The sequence below is a fragment of the Homo sapiens genome, chromosome 9, assembly GCF_000001405.40.
Source record: "Homo sapiens chromosome 9, GRCh38.p14 Primary Assembly".
In the NCBI taxonomy this organism is placed as follows: domain Eukaryota; kingdom Metazoa; phylum Chordata; class Mammalia; order Primates; family Hominidae; genus Homo; species Homo sapiens.
Genome location: NC_000009.12, coordinates 98,686,311 through 98,707,187, shown reverse-complemented (window position 1 = coordinate 98,707,187; position 20,877 = coordinate 98,686,311). Strand labels below are relative to the sequence as shown.

The window sequence follows — 20,877 nt, the reverse complement described above, 5'->3', positions numbered from 1 at the left end:
CTTCCCCTCCTCCTTGGTCGGACCCTCTTTATGTCCCCAGAGAAAGAGCAGAATCTAGATTGTATCTTATTCCCTGCCTCCCCCGCTTCACCGGTGAACCAGCTTGCTCTGCGCTGTAAATAAAAGGTGAAGGAACCGGTGGCAGTTGGCAGCGGTACGCGCAGGCTGCTGCAGGCGGAGAGGCGTCCTCTGCCCCAGAGGATGCAAGCTGGCTGGCTGTGCAGGGCTAACCCGGTGTGAAATCATTTCCGAATGACATTCCTATCGCCCTCGTCTTTGCCTGAGCATCTCAAGTTCTGTGGGGGTACTTGTCTGGCACACATAAATGGAGACAGCAATGCAGTTACACGGAGGCATATCTTCTTGACAGTTTCTCTGTTGCTACTGCACATATTCTTCTGGAGGGGTCACTGCAAAGCCGGTCTTTTGGGGACAAACACATTTTTAGATAGGGCAGCCCTGCTTGCATCATCACCAAGTATTGTCAGCTGCATAATGTTTTCATCATCAGTTTCTTCCCTTTAGAAAGCTTCCCTGAAAGAGATTTCATACTGGCCTGTTTGTGGCAGCAAAGAGATGGGTGCTTCGTTTCAGGGTGTGGGTTGAAGCCTTTACATTTTATTTTTCGAGTGTGTCTTGATGACTTTCTGAGTGAAAGGACCCAAAGTCAAGAGGATGAGACAGTCAGAAGACTCTTCAATTCGTGGGAATATTTAGAAAACAGTGGGAAGGAAGACAGAAGATAATTTTAGCTTCGTGCAAACAGAGAAGTGTCTCTAGCCTTTTGAAGGGGCCCAGAGCCAGGGCTTTGGGGTAGGTGGGGCCTGGGTTTTAGTGAGAAACTGGTTACTTTCCACCCTGGATGACCTTGAGCTGGGTATTTAATCTCTCTAAGCCTAGGTGGGAATATTATGTGTACTCTGCAGGTGACACACAGCTTAAGGAAGATAACAGGCCAGGGTAGAAGATGCCCTGAGCTGGCAGGCTCAGCGGCCAGTGCTCTGGCATGCTGTAAGCACTAAATAAATGTGTCCTGCTGCCTCCCCTCCTCCTCCTCCTTCTTTTTTTTTTTTTTTTTGTTTTTTTTGTTTTGTTTTGTTTTTGTTTTTTTGAGATAGAGTTTTGCTCTTGTTGCCCAGGCTGGAGTGCATTGGCGTGATCTTGGCTCACCGCAACCTCCACCTCCCAGGGTCAAGTGATTCTCCTGCCTCAGCCTCCCGTGTAGCTGGGATTACAGGCATGTGCCACCATGCCCAGCTAATTTTGTATTTTTAGTAGAGATGGGGTTTCTCCATGTTGGTCGGGCTGGTCTTGAACTCCCGACCTCAGGTGATCTGCCCACCTCTGCCTCCCAAAGTGCTGGGATTACAGGCATGAGCCACCGTGCCCAGCTCCCTTCCTTCATTTTTATTTCCTGTGAATTCACAAGTGGCCTTATCTTTAAAGTAGAGGTGCTTTCTCCCTGAGCCAGAGTGAAGGAAGGATCAGTCTAGGTAATTTGCAGCAAAATCTAGAGCGATCTAAAGAATGTTTGTGGCTAGTGTTAGAGTGTTTAGGGTCTAGTTTATTCAGATTGGCTGTCTTTGTGGACACTGCCTAATTATTTGCAGGCTGTGTCACATTGTTTGTAGACTTTAACACAGGGTGGATGTGGTGAACAGATTTTGGCTGGATTTGCTGACATTTGCTGTCAATCAGTGGCCTCAATGGCCAGTGACTATGGGCACCAGTATGGACCTTTATCCATATGATCTGCAGAGAGATGGAGATTTAGCAAGGAATGGGTTAATCTGGTCCCTGGGGACAATCTGTCTCAATAAAGGAGCCTCCTACAACCAGATTGACTCTCTTCTGTAAGTAGAATAGTGGTAGATTTTCAAAACCTCACTCAATGCCATGTGTTGGTAAAAATGAAACAGCCTAACAGAATACCTGTCTATCAGAACCTCTGCTTCTCTGGTGTAACACCAAATGGCTTCAGCAAATACTCGTTTATATATTCCAATGAGGATTTGAACAAGCAAGACAACTGAAAATACAGATAAAAGAAAGCATCAGAAACTATGTAGAAGCATAGAAGTTACTATACCAAGAACCTGGGCTAAAATTTATTGCATTGAGTATTATATTTTAGCTCTGAGCTTCCTGGCAGTCAAGGTAAAAAGGTAAATGTACCATATTACTTAATGTTTGATCTAAAAAATCTGAGAGACAATGACTTTTTTTTTTTTTTTTGAAAGAGTTGGGGGTCTCATTCTCTTGCTCAAGCCAGACTGCAGTGGTACATCATAGCTCACTGCAGCCTTGAACTCCTGGGCTCAAGTGATCTTCCTGTCTTCAGAAATGTTCTCCATGTGATTGTTTCTTATTCTAGCCACACTAATAAAATAAAATAATAGCCAAGGAATGAGTTAAAGATATTTTTTTTCAATTTGATTAATGTTCATTGTGGAAAAGCTGAAAATTACAGAGAAGCATAAAGAAAAATAATTGCCCATAATCCATCTACACAAAAATAATAACATCTAATAATTAGCATCATTCCCTTCCAGTTGTCATTTTTTACTATTTTATGTACTTGAGATCATACTCCATGTGCTCTTTTATGTTTTTTTCCTTCAGTTAACATTGTATCATGGGTTTTTCCCCATGTCCTCAAATCCTCCTTGTAAAGATGATTTTTGGTGGCTGTATACTATTCTATCCTGTGGGTGAACCATACGTATTTAATCATTCCCCTATTGTTGGACCTATATGTTTTCTCATGTGTTACTATCTTAAATCATTCAATAATAAACTTAGAGAAAGTTCAGGGAGCCAAGGAGCCCAGTCTAGGGGTACAACTGTCAGAAAGACCACCCTGATGCCAAGATCCAATGTAGAAATCCCAGTGATTGTTGAGCATGTCTTTTTTCTTGAGTGGCTTTGCCAAATATCTTTTCCCTTATTCACTATGCTTTAAAAAGGATTTAAAGGACTGTTGAATTGAGGCTGTGCTTCCTAAAAAGGTCTGAGTACAGCTCAGCAGGTGTTTACTGAGCACCTACTGGAGCTGTTGATGCTGCAGAAAGGTGTAAAACATAGCCCCGGGTTTGAGAGAGGCAGCTGGTGAACAGAGAACAGGGCAAGAACGTATTCATCATTTCTAATGCAAGGTAGAGAATGATAGTGGAGATGGTTGCATAATTCTGTGAATGTACTAAAAACCATGGAATTATACACTTTATATATATATATATAAATCACTCTTTTAAAGTGTATAAGTTAATTAAATCTCAGTACAGATTTAACTGTATTAAATCTCAATACAGTTAACTAAATCTCAATACAATAAAATATAAATTTTTAATTTTATTAAAAAATAAATTTATTTTTATTTAAAAATAAAAAGATAGACTGAGTGTGGTGGCTCATGCCTGTAATCTCAGCATTTTGGGGGTGCTGAGGTGAGAGGATTGCTTGAGGCCAAGGAGTTCAAGACCAGCCTGAGCAACATAGGGAGACCCTGTCTCTACATAAAATAAAAAATTAGCCTGACATGGTGGTATGTGCCTGTGGTCCCAGCCACTAGGGAGGTTGAGGCAGGAGGATTGCTAGAGCCTAGGAGGTAAAGGCTACAGTAAGCTGTGATTGTGCTGCTGCACTCTAGCCTGGGCAACAGAGCAAGACTCTGTCTCAAAAATAAAACGAAATAAAATTTAAAAATTTTAAAAAGAACGTGAGCTCTTTCAGGTTCAGGTTTACATCTTCTTTGCAGCTGCACCCCCACTGCCCAGCATGCTGCCTGGCCCTTAGTAAGTGTGTTGTTTAGTACTCTTGATGCAAATGACAGAAAGCCAACTTTAACAGGTTCATATAACTGAAAAAACCTAAGGTGTGCTGTATGCAGGCATGGTCAAATCCAGGGGCTCAAATGATATCTTTAAAAATATCTTCCTCTCTGCCTCTTGGCTTTGATTTCTTCTGTGTTGGCTTCACTCTCAGGCAGGCTCTCCCCATGTGGTGGCACAGATGGCCTCTAGAAGCTGCAGGTTTACACACTTCCAGTTTAGAAACTCCAGTAAGAAGAGTGTTTCTTTCCCAACTGTTTCAGCGAAAGTCTCAAGTTTATATCTCATTGGCTTGAATTGGGTCATGTGTTTATCCACGAACAAGTCACATGACCCTGATGGGACAGGCCTAGAACTTCTGCCCTCCTTTCATGATGAGAGAGGGAGGTGAGGTCAGCTTCACCCAACCACCTGAACACAGAGTTGGGGAGAGGTGATTCCTCCAAGGAAATCAGAGGCCATTAAGGGTTGGTATGCCAGTGGGTCTGATCACAAATAGCCACAAAGGCAGGCAGTTGAGGAGTGCTAAATTGAAGAAAGAAACAATAGAAGCCAGGGGCATTAAGAGAAAGGGAAGATCATATAGGACCAGAGAGACCTCCTGGAGAAGATAAGCCTGGAAGAGTGAATATAAAGTTGACAGAGAGAGGCAGAGGCTCTGGGAAATGGACATTGGATACCAGGAAGGGTCTCCAGATCAAAGATGAAGCAAAAAAGTGTGCAGTGTGTTTGGAAATGCAGGGTTTGTAGAGGGAAAAGGTAGCTGGTGCTGGGCGTGGACGGCCTTGAATGCTGTGTCCGGAAGGTGGGACTTTAATCTGGAGCTGCAAGGAGCCGTGCGATGTCTTTGAACATGGGTGTGATCCTATCAAGGCTGGTGAGCATGTAGAGGCTGGACTGGAGACAGAATGAGCCTGGAGTCGGAGGGGCTGGGAAGCTACTTTAACAGTTGAAGGGAGCGGTGATGGGGCCTGAATGGAGACAGGGAGGCAGGAGAGGGTGTTGTGAAGAACGGGCAGCACTGAGACCCGACAGGGCAGGAGGGGCAACAGAGAGGGAACCAATGTCTGGGGAGGGGGTGTGTCATTGGCAGAACAGTCACTGGAATTAGATGCACCCTAGGGGGACAAGGAGAGAGGGTCCCTGCAGGGGTGAGGCCACGTGCTCACCTCACACCTGTCCAATAAGCCCTGGCCCTAGGGTCAGGAGACCTGGGTTTGTATCCTCATTTGGGCACCACTCACCTGCTTGGTGACCTTGGGGAGGTCTGTTTGCCTCGGTTTCTTCATCGATGAAATGGGGCTGATACACTAACTGCCTTATCAGGTGCATAAGGGACAAATGAGATGATCCAGGTGACATAATCCAATCAATGATCGGCACACTGCGAGTGCTCAGGAAATATCGCTGCTCTGTTGTTCCCATTGTTATTATTTCCGTACAATCTGGGGATCATTGTGCTGACCTCACAGGGCTGTTATAAGGAATAAGTCTAATGGGTGGGGCAGCTCAAAGCCTAAAGTAAATACAAAGCAGTGTGACGGGTCCCTTGTTTTCTGGTGCTGTGTTGCAGAGAAGGCCTGCTGGCAGAAGAGGGTGCAGACACTGTGGCCTTTATTCATGTGTGTCTCCCGGCGTGTCTTTCCTTCTGCCGGTATCATAGTTGTTTGTCACTTTCTCCCCTGCTGGCTGGCAGCTCTTGAGGGTAGGGTCAGTCTCATCCCTCAGGGCCTTATGGAGCTTAATGAGCAGCCTGCATGAGTAAATGGTGAGGAGCTGAACTGGAGGTGCATCGATTCGAGTCTGCTTTCTGAGTTAGCACCCTCTGGGATGGTTGGTCTTGTCCCTTCCCCAGGGTCTTCCTCCCTCATTTAAGGACTGAGGTGGCACTACATATCAGGGCTAAGCAAACTGCTGAGCTGTAGCTGCCCTCTGCATGTGCCTACCAGCACCAAACCCCGAGCTCCCCAATATGAGGGCAATATGAGCGCCCCAGAAATTCCTCACACCTAGCCAGGCACCCACGGACATAACTTCTCTGTCCCCAAATTCCTTTTTAAAGACTGAGTTGGGGTGGTGGGTGGAACTAATACACTAAGGGCCTGTTTAATGTTTGATATTGGGCTAAGAATGTTAGCATACTCACTTTATCTTTAAAGGGACCTTCTTTGTGTATTTGACTTTCCTTCCCTGTGGGCAGAGTAACATCAACTTCTTCATACAGAGGTCTGAGATGTCAGCAGGGAAATTAGCAAGCTGGAAGCACAAGATAACGATCCAACAGGGGTACTAAATGGATAGTATCTAGGATATATGTCTTTTGTTAGTTAGGGTGGGTGAGGCTATGCTGCACTAACAAACAAATCCTGAAATCTCAATTGCTTAACACAGTAAGATTATTTATTGCCCACACAAAGTCCAGTGTGTCAGAGGTCGTCCTGGGTGGCTCTCCTCCAGGTGGTAACGCGAGGAGCCAGGCCACTTTTGTATTGTGAGTCTCCCATCTTAAGGCTTCAGGAAGATGGGGATAGGGAAGAATCCAGAGGGAAGGCACACTGGACTTTTAACCACCTTCACTTGCAAGTGACACATATTATTTCTACCCATATTCCACTGGCCAGAAATAGTCAATGGCCAGCCTAACTACAGAGGAGGCTGGGAAACATAAGGAGCATATGGATGCCATGGACACTTGTCAATTGGGGTCCTTCAGGAAGGAGATGCCAAGATAGACTTGTAAGCATAAGAGATCTTGGAAGCCATCCCTGTGAAAGATAAAAGAATAGGTAGGGAAATGCTCTGTCCATGATGCTGTTCTGACACCTGTGGAAGGAGACGGGGAAGGAAGGAGAGTCGGGTAGGAAGAGCTCCAGAGCCAAGATTATCCATTACATGAGTTTCCTATCAGACCCAATGAGCCAGGCTCTAGAATCCCCACCCAACTCAGTGATTGGCTGAGGTCTGCCTTGGGAGATTTTGCTCTTAGCTTGAAGGCTGTGGCAGGTCTTAAAGGTGTTGCAGCTGATGACCATTAGCTGATTGCATCTCCTCCTGTAGGTTCTCTCTTTAAAGGAGGGTGGGGCCTACTTGGTTGGCTGCCACAGACACTGCCTGTTTCTTCTACAATGCCCTACTACTTACTACACCTGGCCCTATTCTAGGCTCTGGGATACAGAGCTGGATGAAACACAGATCCTGCCCTTGAGGAGCTCACTGTCCAACAGGTGATCAAGATAGACAAAAACAATTACACGTGGTATAGCCCAGCCACAGGAGGGGTTAGCAGAGGATGTGGGGGAAGGGAAGGCATTCCCCTTCTCCAGGCACCTGGTTGGTCATCCTCCATGTTGTTTGGGAGTAAAATGTAAGTGACTTCTTATCTCTAACTTTTTTGTTACTTATTTTGGTTTTAGGAAGGTGAGGAAATTAAATGGCATAGTTTGCCCAGTAAGCAGCTGCATTCTATTACTTTCTTTTCTTCTTCTTCTCTAGCGTTATGTAACAGTGCACAGTGAGGCTGGTGAAATGCCTTCCTGTCTGTACCTGGCTTTCTAGGGATGCACAGAGGAGCCAGGCTGAAACCGTGAGTGTATGAGCCCCAGATAGGGTCAGCATCTGGGTTTGGTGCTGGGTTAGTTGCTGAGACCACAGGGAAGTCTTTGCTGTTCTCTGTGAATTGCAGCACTAATCGAGGATCCCCACTCCACTGTTAGCACCAAAAGGGCAGGCACTGGGTGTGTCTGGCTCCTCTGTGGTCCCCCTAGGCACTATCTCAGGGCCAGGCACAGAGCAGGAGCTCAATAAATATTTATCGAACAAATAGATCTAAAAGCCTGGATTCCAGCTCTCCAGTTCTAAGAGGATTAATGGGCAGAGTTTTAACAAATGGAGTAAGTGCTTTGTATGCCAAGCCATGTGAGGGTGAGCTTTCTGCTTGCTCTTTATTCATTCTTTCGGGTTCTTATTATTTAGTGCTTTTGGGGGCTCTGTAGTTGTGGTGTAAAAGGGGAAAGGGTGCTTGGGTGTTCCAATAGAAGATTTGGTGCAAAGCTGATGTCATTTTCTTCGTCTCTGACAAATATATGCACCATCCTCCAAGGTACATCAAAACCTAGGAAATAAATACTTTCCGGCTTCTGAGAAGCATTATGGTTTTAGGAGGTCAGTTTATTGGAGCAATACGCTAACCAGTGGACGGAGGACTTAGGAAACATGTTCTGATATCTCACTCTCGCCTCCAGAGAGCACGAGAGCCAAAGGAGGCTAGATTGGGCTCTGGTCCTGGCAGAAATTGTGGGAATGAAGCCAGTTCATCAGCCTTGGTGAGTCAGGTGGTCCAGTGCAGATCTGGGCATAGTGAGAAAATATGTTCCCTGGAATCCCCTAATAGCAAGGCTTCTTCCAGGCTCCCTGCTCCTGGGTCAGAAGCTTCTGCTCTTTATTCTTCTATGGCCAGGACTAACTCAGGAACTGGGTATGCTCAGCTTGAAAGGGACCGTCTCCCTGATGGTGACAGAATAGGTCTGGACCCCAAACTAGATAACCAAGATTGTGAGTAAAGGCTGGGTGCAGTGGCTCATGCCTGTAATCCCAGCACTTTGGGAGGCCGAAGCGGGTGGATCACGAGGTCAGGAGTTCGAGACCAGCCTGACCAACATGGTGAAACCCCGTCTCTACTAAAAATACAAAAATTAGCTGGGTGTGGTGGCACGCACCTGTAATCCCAGCTACTCAGGAGGCTGAGGCAGGAAAATCGCTTGAACCTGGGAGGTGGAGGTTGCAGTGAGCTGAGATCACACCACTGCTCTCCAGCCTGGGTGACAGAATGAGACTCCATCTCAAAAAAAAAAAAAAGAATTGTGCATAAAGTAAGAGTACATTGGTTATGAGCTGGAGTTTAAGAGTCTGAAAATTCTTGCCTGTGTGAATGAATATTGAACACTTTTTTGGGCTGATGGGGGCATTCTTTTGCCGATTTTCTACCTTTCTGATTTTTTTAGAGTAGTCTGCATTGCTGGAAGGATGAAGTGTCATTGTCATCTAGAAAATTAGTGGTAGATCCAAAGTATTGAGTGCGTGGACTCATCTGTCTTCATCAATGCCCGTGTTCCACAGCTGCTGGCGGAAGCAGACCCCCTTCTCCTGCCATTTGGCAAGGACATCATCAGTCACTGTTCAGATAAAATCTAGCCAAAGAAGGACTTTGTGGAGTGATGCATTATTGCTGCTCTCATGGTACAGGGTCAGGAGGTGGCACAGAGAAAAATGATATTTTTCACACTCTTCTTATGATCCACTTGACTTTGTTCAGAGAAAACTGATTTTGAAAGCAACAGCCATACTTATAATAATCATCACTGTATTATCCAAATCGTCTTGTTTCTAGAACTACCATTCACTGAAGCCTTTCTGAAAAATGCCCAGAGTTGTTTCAGGGATGTAAGTGGCAGATGGGGACCCGCATGCCCACTCTGGGGCAGATGACCAGAGCCCATGCGAATGCCCCCGCCCAGTCCAGCTGAGAGTGCCTTGGCTTTGATGGAAGGGAGAGTTGGCTTGGTTGTCACTCCACAAAGCATCCTCTGGAGCCCAAGTAACCCTTCAGAGGTCCTTCCTGGACTCTGGGAATTCTAGAAACTTTGGGAAGCCCTTGGAGAGCTTCTAAATGTCATGGTCATAATCAAAGGAAAAGGAAATAGGAACATTTAGTTGCAGGTGGGTAGATGAAGAAAAAGAAACTAGAACAACAGTAGCTCACCTTTATCCAGTGCTTACTATATGTCGGCACCTATGTCAGTGCTTTGCAGCATTCATTCATTTCGTCTTCACTACAGTCCTATGAAGTCCTTACTCTTTTTTTTTTTTTTGAGACGGAGTGTCGCTCTGTCGCCCAGGCTGGAGTGCAGTGGCGCCATCTCCGCTCACTGCAAACTCCGCCTCCCGTGTTCACGCCATTCTCCTGCCTCCGCCTTCCGAGTAGCTGGGACTACAGGCGCCCGCCACCACGCCCGGCTAATTTTTTGTAGTTTTAGTAGAGACGAGGTTTCACCGTGTTAGCCAGGATGGTCTCCATCTCCTGACCTCGTGATCTGCTTGCCTCGGCCTCCCAAAGTGCTAGGATTACAGGCGTAAGCCACCGCGCCCGGCGGTCCTTGCTCTTATTGTCTGCATTTTACAGATGAGGCTTAGAGAGCTTATGTGACGTATTTAACATCACAACCAACCAAGTGTCGAGCTGGGATTTGAAGTCTGGATGGTCTGACTTTGATCTCTGCAGCTTACGCTCTGAGTAAACCACCATCTTCATATAGTTATTTTCCTCCCATAAAAGCAAGCGGCAAGTTTTTTTTCTCCGATAAAAACAAGCGGCAATGCTTTTTTTGCTTGCAAATTTCACCCCCAACTGCTTGCCTCTCCCTCGGATTCAACCCCACCCTCTCCCATTTCTCTGTCCACCCACTCAGTCATATACAGCCAACCCTGCACTTTCTACTCACTTTAAATGTCTGTCCACACACCTGACTCACACAGATCTGCTCTCTATCCCCTGGCACCTGGAGAACTTGTCGCTTGCAGAACTTGTCACCTTCGGTTGTGTTTACTCAGGATGGCAGTGTTTATGTCTGAGTGTGTCTCCTGATAGACTCGGATCATCTCAAGGGTAATAGTGGTGCTTCCTTTATGAATTTAGGCTATACTTGCTAAGCACCTACTTGGTGCCAGGCTCTGGGTTTGTTACACAGTGTAGGGAGATAACTCCAAAATAGCTGTGCTTTCAAAGGCACGTGGGGGAGGAGGCCCAGGGATCGTTACCATGCAGCATGAGGAGTGTGATGGTGTGGATGGGCACCCCCAGGTACAGAAGACAATTAAGACCACTGACCCAGCAAACCAGTCCAGCGGCCTCCCAGCTTGATACCCTGCAGGGACTCACCATTGTTCTTGGGGTGGGAACACAGCTTCTCCCACAGCTTTGCAAGCCCTCTGGAGTCTGCCCTGCCCACTCCCAGCATTGCTGCTGAGCACTCTCCCTCTCTTCTTCAGGCCCAGCCACATGGTCCTCTCTGTGTCTTGGATGAGTGTGCTCCTCCCTGCACAGGGCCTTTGCACAAGCTGTTACTGTGGCCTGGAATGTTCTTGCCACCTTTCTTCATCTTTTAAATCCTAGATCAAGTGTGCATTCTCTGTCCTCCCCGATTAGGCAAAATCCACTATCACGTTTTCTCTAAGAACCATGAACTTTCCTTTCTACTGCTTATCACAGCCGCAAGTTAACTTTTGTTGGATTATTTGATCCCTATTGGTCTCCCTCCTGCTTCACAAGGGGACTGTGAACTCCATGAGTGCAAGAACTGGTTTGTTTTGGCTCACCATAATGTCCAGCACACTTTCTAGCACATAGTAGGTGCTCAGTAACTATTTGGAGACTGAGTGAAGGCTGGAGGATTCTGAGGCCAATCTTGATGTTTATAAATGGCATGCTAGTTTGTTTTTCAGTGCCTGTGGGGTGTGGGGGAGACAGCTGGACACTGTAGAAAGACACTGGGCATCGGTCAACCTGTGTGTGCATGCTGACACTGCCTGTCCCCTGAGCCCCAGAGTCCTTGTCCGTGAGATGGGGATGATACTCTGTGAGAGAGTTATTTTGAGGGTTGACCTGGAACATTCATGTAAAGCATTGAGCACAGGGATCCACACTGACTAGATTTTATACTAAGTTTTACTGTTATCATTTTATTATAATGCATATGAAAATGTGAAATGCTGTGTAGCAGCATAAAAACTCGTTCTTATTTCAGTGGGGGACTGTGTGTTTGAGGCCAATGAAGAAGTTGTGATCTGTGTCTGAGCTTCACTGAATGGGATTTTTAAGTTAAGGGGTGTTTTTAAGCCCCATCCATTTCTGGAAGGATTTGAGGTGCGCTGAGAGCTCAGTGGTGAACCATCCACTGGCCCTTGGGGCTGGTGTCTCCAGTGAAGTCTTTATAACTCTGCTTTATAATCACTACTGGTTATTGTTCACTGCCCCGCCAGGCTATGAGCTGGGCCAGTCCATGAGGACAGGCACAGCATCTGTTTGGTGTCTGCCATGCCCCAAAGCCCAGGACAGAGCCTGCAGGTACTCCAGAATATTTGTGAGTGAATGAAGGTCTCTGTGTCTGGAGCACCCAGCACAGCCCCTGGTGCCTTGCAAATGTGTTTCGCATGAGTGATGCTAAACACAAGGTAAAACAGAACAATTTTGGATAAAAATCAGAACTGGGCCCCTAAGTGGAACAGAGAAGATGTTATCAGGCATCTGTGAGGAATGGATTGTTCCAGTTGAACACTGGATTTGAAGGCAAGAGAGAGATGCTCTGATGTTCCTGTGTGATGAGGACACATTTCCTTTTAGGCTCCAGAGACAAATCTTTTAGGTTAGAGGCAGGGCAGTTCAGTGGAAAGAGCTCTGGATTCTACATGGGTGACCCAATGCTGATGCTCTCTAATGGATGACCTTGAGCTAGTCATTTAACTTCTCTGCACCTTAGTTTTATCACCTATAAAATGAGAATAGTAATGTCTGCTCTGCTTTTTCATAGAGTTATTATAGAGATCGGAGAAAGAGAGAGAGGAAGGGAGAGAAATAAGATTAATGTGAAAGGGCTTTAAGAAGCTGTAAAGTGGTGCAGATATAAAATACGCCCGAAACTAAACACAAAGAGTAATTAATTCTGGGCCATTCTCTCAGGACCATTGGATATTTCCAATAACATCTTTATAGAAGACATAGCGATGTCATTCATGTGAGTGATCATTTAACCCCCTAATAAAGGAGGACACAGTATTAGATTATAACACTCTGAAAGCAGTTCTTCAGGGAACTGAGGTTCTGTGACCCTAGCAGGCTGTCTTACCGAAGAATCTAGAACAAGAGGTAGTTAACGTGTTTCCTCTCAACTGTCAAATGTCTTCAAAAACCAATCATCTGTCTTTGGCAGGTGTCAGGCCCAAGGCCATCCACTGCCAGGCTATTGATCAGGGGTCTCAGGGCAGAAACTTGGGAGCATGAAAGTTAGTGAGGGCTGTCTTCTGTAAGCATCAATTTGGGATCCTGGCCATCAGCGGGGCCTAGACCTCAAATCATGGGGGGTTGCTAGTTGGGTGGCTGGGGGAGAGCCTAGCCCACCAGCTTAAAATATGAAATACCCAGACTGGGCCAGTCCACTGCAGCCCAGGAGTGGGCGGCTGGAATGCCTGTGTGCTGGGCGTTTTCATTTTCTCCAGAAAGAGCTTTGACTTCTCCAAGGAGATATACAAGTATTTGGTGGAGATCTCAGGGTTCTGGGCCAGGCAGTGTGGAAATGATGAATCTGGCTTGAGAGTTTGGGGGCAACAGTTGCTAGCTGGCTACCTCCTCCTCAAAAGGAGAGCAGCCAGGCTCCTTTGGACACTGGGTTTTTAACCATCAGATGGGCTTTGACCTGGCTGCTCAGAATTCTCTGCATGCTGTGGCCTGGAAGGCCCTAATTCCAACCTTGTGTCCACAATGGAGAAAACAAAATGACAGGGACAGGTCCTTATTGAATCCCTACTATGTGCTGGGCACTGCATGGCTGCTTTCATATGTGCACCTGGATAGTGGCAAGGTGTAGTAGAAAGAGCTTAAAACTTGTGAGATGGAGAGGCCCAGGGTCAGCTCTGAGCTCTGGTCTGGCTCCGTATTCAGATGACATTCTAAAGCCCCTCCCCTTAGGAAGCTTTCAAGTCATTGAGGATCAATGGCCATGTTGTCTAAAGAACAGTGGGTCCTCTGGGAGGGAAAGGAATGAGAGTGACTCCCAGCCTCTGGGGTTGAAACTGTTAGGATGTAGTGGGGCCTGCTGGCAGGAAAGGCAAAATGATCTGCAAGGGAGACCTTGCTTTGAGTGGGGGCCAGAGCATGGGCTGCTGAGGGCAAGGCTAGTTTAGAGATATAGCTGATACTGGAGCCCCCTGCTACCACCTGAGGACATGGAGGGGCCCGGGAATGGCATCTGTGTAGATCAGTGCACATGGAAACTGCTCAATGCCCGGGACTGAAACCCTCACTTTCTGTTTTGGCCCTGAGTGGGTGGCCCTGGAGAATGGGGGCCTCTGTCCCAAGATTGACCTCATCAGGGGGCAGGACCTCATCCTGGTTTCAGAGGAGACCTCAGGCTTCTGATGAGGCCATGGTAGCAAGGCAGAGCTGAAGGGAGCTGAGGGTGGCAGCTAAGCCTGGCTTAGAGGCTGGGATTGAGGAACCTCGAGGTGTCCGGGTGAGGAACACTCGCTGATCTATCAACATAGGCCACGCCGGGGGTCGAGGGAGAACTGGGCCAAGTATTGCCAAGAGAAAGCCCAGACTGCCCTACCCCCATCTCTTCTTTGAGCATTCCAAGGAATATGTCATTTGTATCGACCCGGTTAAGTCTGAAGGGCAGTTGGTGTCTCATTTAGTTCTTATAAAATGGTTCCTCTGTTACCAGGGTGTTACTGAATGAGGCATTTGGAAGAAATAGTCAACTCTAGCACTGCACAGCATTTGTAATTCTCATTGTTTAGTTGTTGGTATTATTTTAACAACTAAACAACTAAAGAAGAATTCTTGCCCTTAGTCCCATTCATACCTGGAGAAACTGTGGATCTGCATGGTGAGCTGGGGTGTGAGGCAGCGAGTCTAAGTTGGCCCGACTCTGAGCCCAGTGCCCTTGGCACCACCCACAGCGGCCAGGCATGCTACAGTCCAGCCAGATGGGGTCTGTGGTCCTGCTGTTTGGGGTCCCAGGATCCAGCCAGACTCCCGGGAGTCACCTATCATGGCTGTTCCCGAAGGCCCTTAGGCCAAGCCCCGGAGAGAGTAGAAGGTTATAGATGGTGAGCTGTATGTGTAGACACTGTTGGCTTCATGGACGAGAATGCACTTTCTATTTCATCCTCCTAAGCACTTCAAGAAAGACTAAAGGTGGCCCAGGGAGGCGCTCAGAGTGGCTGGATGTTGGGTGGACTAATATCCATACTGCTGGCCACCACAGCTTGCCACACAGGGGAGGTGACCTCATGCTGGACACTGAGTTCCATTCAGGAGCAAGCTTGGAGCACCTGCCTCCTGCCACGCCCTGGGCCATCCAAACTTGACTCGGGTGTGACCTCTGCCCTTAGGGAGCTCACAGGACAATGTAGGCCACTCACATGCAAGCAAGTGACCCTGGTAAGAGCACTTACTAGCTGTGTTAGTTTTGGGCAAGCCACTTTATCTCCCTGTGCCTCAGTGTTCTTCTCTGTACAATGGGGTGATAATAATAGTACCTGCTTCACAGGACGGCTACCAAAACTGATAGTTATCAGTGACTGCTGAAGACTTCAGCCACTGCCTGATACATAGTAAGTGTCATAATAGTGTCAAATACAAAAATGCTGTGAGGGAGATTTGAAGATCCTCTTAGCAGAGGCTCCAGTAAGAACTCCAGCAGCACAAAGAGGAGGTGGTGAATTGAATTCTCACAGGGTGGAACCTGGAAGGGCCTTTCACTGCAAGCAACCTTTGAGCTGGCCTTGAAGGACAGGAGGTAGAAGATGTGGGAAGTACCCTGTGGGAGGAGGGAATTGTGCAAGCAAAGCTTGGAAGGTAGGACTTTGAGGGGATAATGCTGAGCCATTCAGATGTGGCCAGCACATAGGTGACTGACCGCAAGAGACACTGTGGACAGAGAGCTGAACGGCCTGGGAAACAGTCACCTTTGGGCCCGCAGTGTCTGAAAGCACATTTCTTAATCAATCAGTGCTCACCAAGGGCCTCCGCAAAGTCCTGGCTTCTAGCCTTGCTGTCGGCAAAGAGTTTCCTATTGGCCAAGGCTGGAGAACACAACCCCCCAGTCAACGGAGAGCTGGGCAAGGTCACCTCCAGGGACATTGCAAAGACTAGGACACAGGGCAAGAAAGGTGGATTAGGCTGACTTGGAGTTAAACCCTGGCTTTGTCACTTCCTAGGGGTGACAAGCCCTGTAACTCATCGAGCCTGTCATTCCCCCTGTGCAACAGGGAGATGAGTTTACCTGCCTTGCAGGGTTTGTCCGTGAGGCTAGGATGAGAGTATGTATTCTCAAACACCCCAGCTGGAGCTAGGCACTCCACGGATGCCTGATAACACTGAATGGGAATGGGACCCATCCTTGTTTGACATCACTTAGATTTGGGAGTGAGTCTGCCCTCAGATCATTCTAATTTTAACAATCAAAAAATGACTCAGGGTCTTGAAGAGGGCCCAGGAGGGATTTTAAAGCTTACTCTAAGTTGAGTCTGTAGGTGGACATAATAGATGCAATCAACTTTATGTTTCTCTTAATGGCTTTCTTGATGAAGGGAAGCAGTGAGTAGCAGTGATCTGTGCTGATATAACTGTTGTGGAACTCAGCAGTGAGAGGCCAGGTTGGCAGGCCTGGCTGTGCAGTCACAGGGCAGAAGGCTGGTGCTGACTTCCCCAGGCTGTCCCTCTGGCTGATGGGCAGCCAGTCTGGCTGCAGAGGAAGTTGCCCTTTTGATGCAGGTGCACACACAGTTGGTCCCTAGGACCTGTCTCTCTCAGAGTGTGGCAGGGTATCTGGTCTGGGTTGGGTTTCTCCTTTATTCCCTGATGGGCTAAGTCCTGGGTTTGGACAGCAGCACTCCGGGGGCCACTGTCATTCTGGATTCTAGGGATTAATCAGCCCCTCTTGAGAGGATCATGGTCTTGGTTCCCAGCTGAGATGCAGAATGGCTTTCCTTCTGAGACCTGCCAGGTTCCAGCCCCTTGCTACCTGCCAAACATGACTTCTTCTTTGGGCAGAGAAGGGCGGGCTATTCCTTCTCTACACATTTGGATGAAAGAGATTCTGAACAGAGCAATACAGTGGTTTTCTCACAATCACTGATAAAGAAGCTGATGTATAAAGATGAAATTGGATTTATACCAAAAATAAATCAGTTTTAGGTGTTTAGCAAAAGAGAGCTGTAATGGCTTTGGGGGAGCCCTGGGGAAAGGAAGGATGTGTTCAGAATACGGGGTTGGATCTTGGAAGGCTTGGTCCTGGTTCCTGAAATTTGGGTTCTCTGAGACTCAGTTTCTTCACCTGTAAAATGGGGAAAGGCACCTGCTCCAACCTCTCTCAGGGTGATTTTATGCTTAAATTAGATAATGACACTGGAAAGTCCTTGACCAAAGTTAAGAAAGGCATATCTGGGATTGCTGAGTGTTTCCATGAGAGCCCTGCTGTGATAGGTGTCTGAACGTGTGAAGGAGGAAATCATGGAAGCTGCAGAAGAAGCAGTGTTGCAACGATAATGGGGACTAAAGTAGGTCTCATTTCAGTTTTAGGAGGAAATAGGGCAGTAGATGGAAAGATTGAGCTATCTATTTTTGTTTTTAAGTCACTTTGCAGGGAAGAAATTGGGCAGTTGGACTCTTTCATTCTCTATAGTCAGAAGTCAGAAGTCAGAATGTCAGAGTAGATTTAAGGCCCACATGAAAAAACAGATAAATATATCCTGAAAAGAGTTTCTTGTGTGGTTTGGATGTGTATAAGAAACCAATTTAAAAGCGTTCAGATCTTTGTATGGTATATGTAATGATAACTGACATAATAGCGTTAGGAAGAACATAACCGTGCCATAAACCCTGTCATTTTGACTCTTTTGAAGAAAAGCTGGTCAGAGACGTCGGGGATAGAGGACGATCCTGGCTTTTTTACTTGCTGCAAAAGCTGCTTTCTGCAGTCCAGCTCCTCTTGTTTGGAGCTGTACAAGATCCTTCAGAAACCTGGAATGTGGGAATCCTGGGTTATTGTCTACATGCACTAGGCACAGGCATGAGCTTGTCTAAGTGAAAATGCAGTATATCCTACTATTAGCACCGCCAGCATTGTCAAAGCAAACACATTCCCCAGTCTTAGCCTCTTCTAAGGACTTTATAGGTAGTAAATCATCTACTTCTCACCAAGGTCCTAGGAGGTAAGCATTGTTATTGCCCCCATTTTTCAGATGAGAAAACTGAGGCACAGAGAGTTTCAATAACCTGCCTAAAGTTACATGTCTAGTAAGCTGGGATTCAAACTGAGGCAGTCTGGTTCCAGGGCCCACATCCCTAAACGTTATACACCACTGTCTTGTGTCTGGCTTCCAAAGGGACCTCAAGAAATCAACTGGTGCAGTTACCTGCCTTCCCATAGATAATCTGATCATTATCTCTATTTTACACATGAGAAAACTGAGGCCCAGAGAAGGAGAGAGGCTTGACTTGCTAAAGCCATACAATAGGATGGCATAGGGCTGGGACTAGAACCGGAGTCTTCATGATAGTGGTGACCTCCTCCAGAAGTTTGCCCTTGCCTTTGGCTTATCTGTCCTGAACGTGCTTTCCTTTTCTGAGACAGTTGGGCAACATCAATATCTGGCTCAGATCGGGCTCTTTCTTATCTCCATCACGCTTTGCACTCTCCTGTTCTAGAACCAGCAGATGCTCCTTGTGTTGCCTGGCTCACCTGGCCAGGACCCTTCCCTGGAACGCCCCTCCCAGCTGTCCACAGAGGCCTGCACAAGTGTGATATGGAGGTTAGTGGGAACTATAACTAGCTATGATTCCAATGTGGATGCTCAGAGGGTGCTTTGAACAATTAAGAGAGGAAGTGATGATCACTGGGGTCACCCTGGGTTCATTTAGAGCAAGGCCTTCAGGACTGACCACTCTTTCTTTGTTGAGAAAATTACTAGGCTGATTAGATCAGGGAGCTAGGTCCTAGCAAATGTGAATTCTTTGAAGATATTTGACAAAATCTAATGATTTTTCAATGAGATAAAGATGGTCTATTTAGGCACATCTGTTAATTGTTGAAACTCCAAACCCAAAAGATATTCATCTGCAAGTAATCTGTGGTGGTTGTCCATGGGACTCTGTTCTTTGCCTGGAGATTTTATATATATATATATATGAAACCACATATTATTTCTTAAATTAGTGATTTGGATAGGTCATAAAAGTCATACTGATCAAATTTTGCTGATGATGCCGAGATAGGAGGATTAGCAAATATTTGAGGTGGCAGAGCCAAAAAACAAATTTCCTGTTGTTACATTCACCCCATTGCTCCAGGATTCCAAGATTCTTTTTTCAGGATTCACTGCATCATTGGACACTTGGTTTCAAAAAACCAACTGCTTAAGGACAAGACAAAGTCAATGAGCCTTAGAGGGAGTAGATGTGAAAAGAGGCAGAGGCTCTTGTTGACTGTGACTCATTATGATCTCTGGAGGGCAGGGGAGCTGAGGTCTGCTGCTCAGTGTGTGTGTTCCTGTAAATTCAGACTACCCTGGCAGGCTGGAGCCCCCAGGTCTGCTGAGAAGGGGTGTCCTTTGGGGCATGTGCTGGGGAAGGTGATCCCAGTGAGACCATCGAACATGCCCAGAGATGAGAGAAAACACTTCCATTGGTGGCTTTGGATTCATCTTAGATCCCTCCCCTTCACCCTCCTTCCTACAGATGTTTATTACAAGACCTCTGTGTGCCAGGCACTGTGTTGGGCATTGGTAGGTGGTCCCAAGCATTGCCCCTGTCCTGTGGAGCCAGTAAGCTTTCTACATTGTGTGTGGGTGGTGCCAAGGACCTGTGGAATGGTGCCAGACCGGGTTGTAGGAAATCCAGTCATTGCAAGGTGGGCAGCCTCAGAGTCAGGAGCTGGAGAACACAGCGGGGGCTGGGGGATGGGGTAGCAGATCCCAGAGCAGGCAGGAAACAGCAGATCCCAGAGCAGGCCTCTGGCCTCAACAGAGTCTCTCCTTGACCAAACTTTAGTCAGGCTCCTCTGATCCTCTTCTCAACCAGGCCCTGACCTTTGGGCTTCTGTGTCCATCTTTGCATCACCCAATTTTAGCAAGAATCCTGCTAAGTCAGTGGAGTGAGAATTCCCCACCCTGAATATCTGATCACCCCTGATATCTGATCAAATTCCTCGTCCTTCACAAGCCTCAGGTGATGTCTGATCTCCCTGGCCTGACTTCAGCAAGAATCCTGTCCGGTTGGTTCAGCCAGAATTCCCCCTTACACCTGACATTTCCTCATAGTAATGTTCCGTCCGTGACCTCCCACCCTGCCCCTTGGCTGTAAATCCCCACATGCCCTTATTCTGCTTGGAACTGAGCCCATGTCTAGACTGAGGTCTCTTGCCCCCAGTTGCAGTAACATCCTGAATAAAATTTGTTTTCACTGCTTTAACTAGTGTCTAGATCTGGCTTCTTTGACAGCCCTCAGCAGGAGAGGGCCAAGAGGACAAGGAAGTCTGTGGGTTGAGGCAGGGCAGGAAACCTGGTTAAAGTGCAGGGGAAGGTCAGAGTATGTCGAGGGAGGATCTTTGTCTTGTTTGTTTAGAAGCACTGACTCTGCTGAGGGAGGGTGGTCTGGGCTCTGCTGGAAGTACAGGGCTGGGGAGAGGCAGAGCTTGGAGGGCTGTTGTGGACACCCTTGTGTTTGGTTGATGGGTTGTGGGGGTGACAGGGAGGAAGCAAGGAGCCAAAGCTCTGTGGATGGTGGACCCTTCACTGACTGAGCTGGGAGTCCTGGACAAGGGGCAGGGTTTGTGGCTGTTAAAGAAAACCGGAGCCAGACAGAAGTTAAAAAGGTAAAAATAGATTTTAGGCCCAGTGCAGTGGCTCAGGCCTGTAATCCCAGCACTTTGGGAGGCCGAGATGGGTGAACCACTGGAGGTCAGGAGTTTGAGACCAGCATGGCCAACATGGTGAAACCCCATCTCTACCAAAAATACAAAATTTAGCTGGGTGTGGTGGTGCATGCCTATAATCCCAGCTACTCGAGAGGCTGAGGCAGGAGAATCACTTGAACTGGGAGGCGAAGGTTGCAGTGAGCCAAGATCACCCCACTGCATTCTAGCCTGGGTGACAGAGAAAGACTCCATCTCAAAAACAAAACAAAACAAAAAAAACAGATTTTATTCGGGGACTATTGCAATAGAGGAAAAGAGACCCCAGTGCAGATAGAACTGGGCTCAGTTCCAAATACAGC

The 20,877-nt window shown here is 47.1% G+C and overlaps 1 protein-coding gene and 1 long non-coding RNA gene across 2 annotated transcripts in view, besides 1 other annotated feature; one reads left to right on the top strand and one right to left on the bottom strand.

The window, feature by feature from the left end:
• GABBR2 (gamma-aminobutyric acid type B receptor subunit 2) overlaps positions 1–20,877 on the top strand; it is a 420,827-nt gene that overhangs the window by 1,748 nt on the left and 398,202 nt on the right. The window lies entirely within an intron of this gene.
• Positions 56–627: an enhancer, noted in NCBI's record as "H3K4me1 hESC enhancer chr9:101468843-101469414 (GRCh37/hg19 assembly coordinates)". NCBI's record gives its function as "activates a minimal SCP1, AML or CMV promoter by ChIP-STARR-seq in primed H9 embryonic stem cells {active_cell/tissue: H9 hESC(primed)}" and the evidence as "EXISTENCE:reporter gene assay evidence [ECO:0000049][PMID:30033119]".
• Positions 5,529–9,654, bottom strand: LOC124902228 (uncharacterized). Its single transcript, XR_007061688.1, has 3 exons — positions 9,589–9,654; positions 5,977–6,086; positions 5,529–5,583 (listed from the first exon to the last, which is right to left on the bottom strand). It is a non-coding gene; the product is annotated as an uncharacterized LOC124902228 (long non-coding RNA).